At 38.5% G+C, this 7933-nt stretch overlaps 1 annotated feature.

Moving 5' to 3' along the window:
* Nucleotides 2819-3019: a silencer, noted in NCBI's record as "peak3045 fragment used in MPRA reporter construct". NCBI's record gives its function as "represses an SCP1 promoter by STARR-seq MPRAs in K562 erythroleukemia cells {active_cell/tissue: K562}" and the evidence as "EXISTENCE:reporter gene assay evidence [ECO:0000049][PMID:32103011]".

Here is a 7933-nt window from a genome sequence, read left to right on the forward strand (position 1 = left end):
GGTAGAAAATACTTTTCCCAGAAATATAACTGAGTTTATTCATCTTTAAAACCGTATCTTTGCATACTATAGAATATTTTTAGGCAATGCCAAGGATTTTTTGTTTTTTTGCCTCTCATCAATTTCTTCTCACATTTACTCTTTTTCATAAAGTTGACTTCTTTTTCATTCAAACTTCTGTCAGATTTCTACTTGTTCTCTCTTCTTTCCCTTAAGACTTGTTTAGTACCTTCTAAAAGATGCCTTCTCCAAACAATTTTTCAGAAGACTAAGATGCTGCTTAAACCTAAAACCACAGTCTTAAAATTATTTTTATTTTTCATCCACATGCAAATTGAAAGACGTGGAGTCATGAAATAAAATATTCTTAAGCTTATTAATATTTTATGTTTACATATACATATGCGGTGAGTCCCAAAATAGTATTTTAAAGTGCTGGATGTTTTTGCCTATTGATTTTAATTAAGTGTACTTTAGGTTGTCTGGATTGCAAGTAAGACAGAAAGGAAAATAGATGAAAAAAATCACAAGCAAGCTTTTTATTCCAGTTCTTGGGGAAAAAACTAATAAGCCACCTCCACAGTGAATTTCTAGTGAGTCATTAACCAGGGATTTGTTGCCTTGGTTACTGAGCCAGGTAGAGATTCCAGTAAAAAAGCAATGTGACCTATAGCTCAAGAAACTGAAGAAGTGAAATTTCTGCATGATGATATTTGCAGTTACTACAGAAAGAAATGAAAAGAGTAAAAAGTATATGTTAAAAGGGAAAAAAAGATTACTTCGATTTTTGACCCCATGTCAAAGATGTTTACAACCACACAACACACACTTTTAAGAATAACATTTCAGTGTTTGTTTCCTTGTGAAATATTACAAGACATAAACCATTTCCAATATATGAGACCTGTCCCACCCTAGAAAACAAAGCACTTGACTCGTCAGTGGTGAATGGACGACATTCCTTTGGTAGAGAATATTGCAGTAACATACATTTACAAGATAAGCATTCAGAAAGCAGAATAATTGGATAGATTTTCCAGGCAACCTATCTCTGTGGCTTTTCCATCACACCGTATCAAAAATTTAAATTACCTGAAGATTGGTACCAAATCTAGAAGCAAAGCAATAACAAAAGGAAGAATTCGAAAGCAAGACTTCAAGCATCATCCTCATCTTTGGCTGTAACTGGCTTTTTCACTAAACTCAGAATCATACTGAAGATATTGATGGTCTACTAACCAACCTCCAGAGATGGCAGAGATTACAATATCTGTGATGATTCATTTTGTTCTGTTTCTCTGGAGAACCCTGACTAATACATTATCCAAGTCCTACTTCCTGCTCTTTTCTGCCAATACTCCAAGCCACACCAGTTTACACTAAAACCAAAATCCAATGGTAGAAAGTAAAAGACTGGCAAAGTCACCACTATCTTATGGATGAGAATAGGACATTTAATAAGAAACCACAAAAATCATAAATTTTGCCAACAACCAAGGCCATGACATAGGCAATAGGACAGCTTCTGTGAAACTGCATGAGCCTCAATTTCCTCCAGGAAATTGCCCAGGAGTAATCATATCCCCTCCAGAAGATAGATTCTTACCAAACTCAAATGAGGTAATACATATGAAGCTCTGGTTAGATAAAAATTGGTATCTTTTCTTTTCTCTTGTTTCCCATCTGGATCTCTTTTACCTCCATTTTTATTTAAAAGATCTGGTTTCCTAAAAGGTTTAAACTTAGAACTCTAAAATTTAAAACATTTTCCATGTACATTCTGGAAGGGCTATTTTTTTCGCTAAGTGCAGTGTCACTATTGACTATTGGTCTGCAACCCTCCTTCAACACATACAAACAAATACTTTGAAACAAAACTGGAAATAAAGGATAAAAGGGAAACAAAACTGGAAATAAAGGATAAAAGGGTAGACAGTGTTGGATCAAGGTGTAAATTCCTAAAACATTTACGTTGTTTAATCCATGCCCAAACTTGAATGCATCATGTAGGGCTCACAGTAGATCTTACAGCCCAGACATGAAGCATTCATGATCAAAATATATTCTCAACCATAAATTACCCTGGGCTTACAATCGTCCCACCATCCTCCTATGTTTAATTGCAGGATTTCTTTCACCATCATTAATCCAATTTGGGAAAGGCTTAAAGTACTCTATTCGAGCTAAGCACCGACTGAGTTAAATGAGATGAATGTTTGGCATCTGTGGTTTATTGCAAATTCAACAGAGGGTGATGAGATTTGCTTTATTCCCAGTCTGGCTTTATTGAGGCTTCTCTTTTTATGAAAGTAATGGGCTTTCTGCCTTTATTTCCTGTCAAAGTTCTTTAATGCTTATTACTTGATATTTATTTGTCCTTTAGCTTTCAGAGGTGGCCAGCTCCTAAGATGTTTAAATATACTGCACAGAATTTGAATTTTCTGGGATTTTTTTCTTTTTTCTATTTTTCAAAAAGGTTAGTTCTTCGTAAGAATTATTTTACTGTTAGTGATAACAAAATGGTAAAAATACTTCTGGGGCTTTTAACTCTGCTTAGTAAAACTATCTTTTTTGTACTTTCTTCATGATTCAAATACCACATTATATTTACTATATATGGGATGATCTTTAGATATTAGCCAATACAATTAAAGACATATAATAATCATATTTGAAAGTATCCATTTTACAAACAACAATTTCATTCTATGATTTTCTACATTTTCGTATAGAAGTCTGTCATAGGTAATGGACTTTTGGCCTATTTTGTGTCAGGCACTGAGGAAGTAAAACAAAAATATATGACATAGCTTCTGCTTTCAAGGGGTTTACAGTCTCCCAGAAGCGAAAAGCATATAAACAAGTCATTATTATATCATCTTGGCAGAGTTTTCCTGGAAAAACCGCCTGAGGCAGGATGAAGCTCTGAAGATTTATTTGGGACATACAATCCCAGGGAAACAAGGGGAAGGAAAACTGTAAGTAAAGCTGGAGGGATGAGAAGCAATGCAAAGTGATGCACTACTGCGCTAGCAACTGCTTCATAAGGAACTCCAAAGAGACACAGCCGATCACTTTCAGGGCATTTGCTCAGCTACTCAGATGCGTCCAGACACACTCTGCACAGAGACTCTTTGCCTAGGGGAAAAAAAAAGCCCATGGAAAAAGAGGATATTTTTCTATCTGGCCTCCTCCTATTTCCCACTGGTTAACATTGACGCTGTGGAGAGTGAATTCCCCTGACCATCATCTTGCACCAGGTGCAAGCCCTTGGGCAGTCCATGGGCAGGCAGATGTGGCATGCAGCTGGTGGCCCTGTTCAGAGGTGGCCTGTAGGGTAGGGGCTGAAGCAGATCTCATAGCTCAGGAGCTCGGAGGGAGGGTGAGCCCCAAGACTGCACAGGCACCAGATGAATCGACACAAACAGGATGGCAATGAAGAAAGATAAAAATGTTAGGAAAACCCAGACAAGGAGCAACTGAGGAAAGCTGAATCTGTGACTAAAAAAGCAAATTCATGAAATTAAGTTTTTCATTGAAAGATTATATGCATATTATATACACCTCATAAAAGCTAACATGTGGCCTGGTGGTTCTTGGAATGATCCACGTTGTTCAATTTTAAGCCCTAAGTCTGTACTAATGCCATGGCTATATTTCTCTAAGAAGAAATCTCAGCTTACCTGGGGGCAGTGGGCTCAACCAAGGCTATGGTTTAGAGGAGGAACTGATAACCCCATTGACTGCTACCATCAATCATGTCAGAAATGTCAGTCACTTTCCAATGGTGAAAATTAACACTGACCTGTTTCATTTTCTAAGACAGGTGGTGCGCCCTCTTTATCATGTCTTCCCCTTGTTCCTTTGTGATGTTTTTATTCTTTCCTAGGTAAATTCCCTCAGAAGAGAAAATAAGCAAAGTCAAAAATTCCCTCAGAAGAGAAAATAAGCAAAGTCAAATATAGAATGACAGCTAGTCTATCTAGGATTTTTGGTCTCAAGATTCTATGATTTAACATAAGCTGTAGCTTTTAAAATTCAGGTGCCCCATATGGGCTGCTGATGAGAATTCAATTTGTGACTCTACTAAGTCATTCTCTCTTACTAAGTGTGTGAAAGTGTAAGTAGATTAGAAAAAGTTTAAATAGCAAAGTCAGCTTTATTAATTCAGCACAAATGGTTTGTATACATCCTGAGCACCTATGTCTTCACCATGAAAAATACATGTCTTTTTAGATTTTTTAAACTTCTATTTTTTTCTGCAACTCATACTATCCTTATTAGGCACCTATGTGCCTAATAGAACATTGCAATGTTCTACACATTATAAGTGGTTCCAAAAGAAATGAATCTCATCCTTTATAGAGCTCACTGTCTAGTTAAGGAGACAATCTAGCATCAGAATATCAAGGATGGAAGTTACTATGGAGATTTGCTAAGGCCAAAACATTTCCCTGAAACAGTTAATAATATAACTACAGAAAATAAAAATAAGCAAAACAGACAACTGTCATAATAGTTTGAATATTTGAGAATGCCTGTTTGAGAAGTTGAAGGAGATTAATAGAAGTAGTGAGTGAGCTGCAACCTGAAGAATGCCCAGATCTTAAATGTATAAAGCAGGAAGGCAAAGGACAGCCCAGTTACAATAAAAGAGCATGCGCAAAGGAACCCAGAAAAAAATGAACCCAACAAGGTCTCAAGACAATGGGGACACAATCCAAAGCAGTGGGCAGAGCAGAGGGTGCTGGTTGGGGAAGAACAGGGAATAAAACTGGTAGGATGAGAGGGGGAAAGATTTGAAAATCCAACCCACTATGACATAGATTTTTAAACACACATTAAACCCTATAGACTAATTCTCCAGCTAACTTTTTTCAACCTTGATAACCTTCCAGAAGTCCAAACTCAAATCACTAATGGTATAGTGAATGGCAAGACCTGAAGTAGGTGCCTGAAAACAGGAAAAGCCTATATAATTCCAAGCGACAGTATGGATAACACTGCATCATCTAGACTATGCACTCCTGTGTATTTTAAGAATCCCTGGAATAATGATTTATATATTCAGAAAGCACAGATTTTAACCAGAGGTCTCCACTTTTCTTTCCCAACACACACGCATGACTTTTGGGGGGAAAAATGCCTAAGACCATTTACTAAGATGCAAAACATTCTCTCTCTCGTGGCATGGGGAAAATTGCATCTATTGACCCTTCTTCGTGTTTCTAAGGTTTTTATTAACAAAGCATGGAAATAAATTCTTTGTAACCTCAATCTGAACTTTTATTATTGGGATCTCATCTTCACATATGATGTTCTCTTAATTGCTGGAATCTAGGAGGTAATTTTAATTCTAGATTATTGTAACTTGAACATGACCCAGGTAAATTATACATACATGGTAAATCTCATGGATAGTGTTACTGAAAATCTTTAGAAAGTAGACATGTGGTTTGCAGGAGACTCATACCCACAGAAGACTTTAGACGTAATTACTGCTTTTCTGATGTTATTTGGTCTGGAATTTGATGACAAACTGAAGCCACATTCTGCTACCACCTGAAAAGATACGTTGATGGTTGGGCCTTGGCCAGGCCACTTATTGGCCTGATGACACATTGACAAATATAACCCCAAAGTGAGTGTTCATGGCAAAGCAAGAATTGCCATTTGTGGTGGTGCATGGACCCTTGTGCGCTTATGTGGCCTCACCCCCAGCCTCCTGCTATCAAATACAAGGAGCCCATTGGCTCCCCACTCTCCAGGTTGACTGCTGTTTGAACACAAGAGCTGAGGGGAAGCTGAGGACCTGTACCCATTCATTTACCTGATTCCTTATGTCTTGCTTTTTTTTGCAAAGCTTCTTTGCCAATTTTGTAGTAACCCCACATGAATGGAAATGAAGCCACATCCAAGTTATCACTCTCATTAGACTTGAAAATAGGATTTGAATTTGTGTTCTTTCATAATAAATTCTACTGAGCCTTTAAGATTGTTAGCTATTTTTTGAATAATACTATTTAATTAAATAAACAGTTATTTATTTCAGCTGCTACATATCAATCACTGAGCTAGAAAATGGGAAACCCAAAGATTAATAATTAATATAGGAACTTGCGGCCTACTGGAAGGGACAGACAAATAAATGTACTTTTTAGTGATTTGCATTGAGTCCAATGGGAACTCAGAGTCACCTCGCCCAACCAGTGGAGAAGAGAGCAGAAGACCTGAGGGAGGTAGGAAGAAAAGATGATGCTTGAGTCAAGCTTTTGCATCAATAGTTGTGAGTAAATGGGGACAAAAGATATTCCTGAAGGAAAAGCATAAACTGAACAAAGGACTCAATAAACAGCATGGTGTGTGCAAAGAAGCAGAAGCCATGTGCCCACCTAATGCTTGAAATATGAGGTAGGGTAGACAGAAGATGAAGTCTTGTTTGGTCCATGATGGGCTTTGTGTTTTATCCCATCAGTGATGAGGAGTCATGGAAGGTGTTGTGTAATGTAATTAGTGTTACCACTGGACAATGAGTTACCTGGGTAGATGAGCTCAGTGACAGTTCTAGTTAGATTTCTTTTTTTAAACAATTTCGCTTTGTTGCCCAGGCTGGAGTGCACTGGCATGATCTCGGCTCACTGCAACCTCCACCTCCCGAGTTCAAGCAATTCTCGTGTCTCAGCCTCCTGAGTAGCTAGGATTACAGGCACCCACCGCCATGCCCAGCTGATTTTTTGTATTTTAGCAGAGATGGGGTTTCACCACATTGGCCAGGCTGGTCTCAAGCTCCTGAGCTCAGGCGATCTGCCCGTCTCAGCCTCCCAAACTGCTAGGATTACAGGCATGAGCCACTGTGCCCGGCCTCTAGTTAGATCATGGTAAGAAGAAAAGATTTGTGACAATCTCTGACACATTAGTACCGCAGTGTCCTTTCCAAAAGAGTTCATTTTCTTTCGTGTGTGTGTGTGTGTGTGTGTGTGTGTGTGTGTGTGTGTGTGTGTGCTGGACAGATAGACTAATCTGTATCTCATAGCCTCTGGAAAACCATCTTTAAGATTTATAAGAATTTGAATCTGAAAGTCAGCTGATTTAAAAAATAAAAACATAAAACATTTTATGATTTAAACGTTTTACAATCTGAGGCAGGTGGATCACCAGGTCAGGAGATCGAGACCATCCTGGCTAACATGGTGAAACCCCGTCTCTACTAAAAATACAAAAAATTAGCCGGGTCTGGTGGCGGGCGCCTGCAGTCCCAGCTACTCGGGAGGCTGAGGCAGGAGAATGGCGTCACCCAGGTAGGCGGAGCCTGCATTGAGCTGTGATCACGCCACTGCACTCCAGTCTGGGTGGCAGAGCGAGACTCCGTCTCAAAAAAATAAATAAATAAATAAATAAGAATGTTCACGGTTGTGCAGCAAATATTACAATGAAATCTAATAGCATATTATAATTCTGAGAGTATATAATTCCAGATATACTGTACACAAAGAAGGACACAAACCAGCATCTGTTAGGGAATGGTGAGTTATAAATTGCTACTGAAACAGAAACTGGCCCTGATAATACAGCATACATTAAATATCAGAATCTTCACAAGTATTAATAACATTCAGGGTCCACCTAGTCCAGGTATCTAAATATAACAATACCTGGGGGTTCTTTTAGCTGAGTACCATGAGTAGGTCAGAACAGCTCACTGGGAATGATTCAACCCTCACTCATAGACCAAATTAAAAAAATACACACAAATGAAAGTAATAAGCAAGGAGTTTCTGAAATTGACGTTCAAGACCTCTGAATACAACGGCAAGCACATTAGCTAGTGTGACTAATAGCACAGCCTCAGTTGGGGCTCATCTGGGACCATCTTCCTTGGCAGCCCCAGATCTGCTGACTCTCTCTGTGCTATGCCGCCTTAGCACTGATGTTA

Source organism: Homo sapiens, chromosome 18 (genome assembly GCF_000001405.40).
Source record: "Homo sapiens chromosome 18, GRCh38.p14 Primary Assembly".
Lineage (NCBI taxonomy): Eukaryota > Metazoa > Chordata > Mammalia > Primates > Hominidae > Homo > Homo sapiens.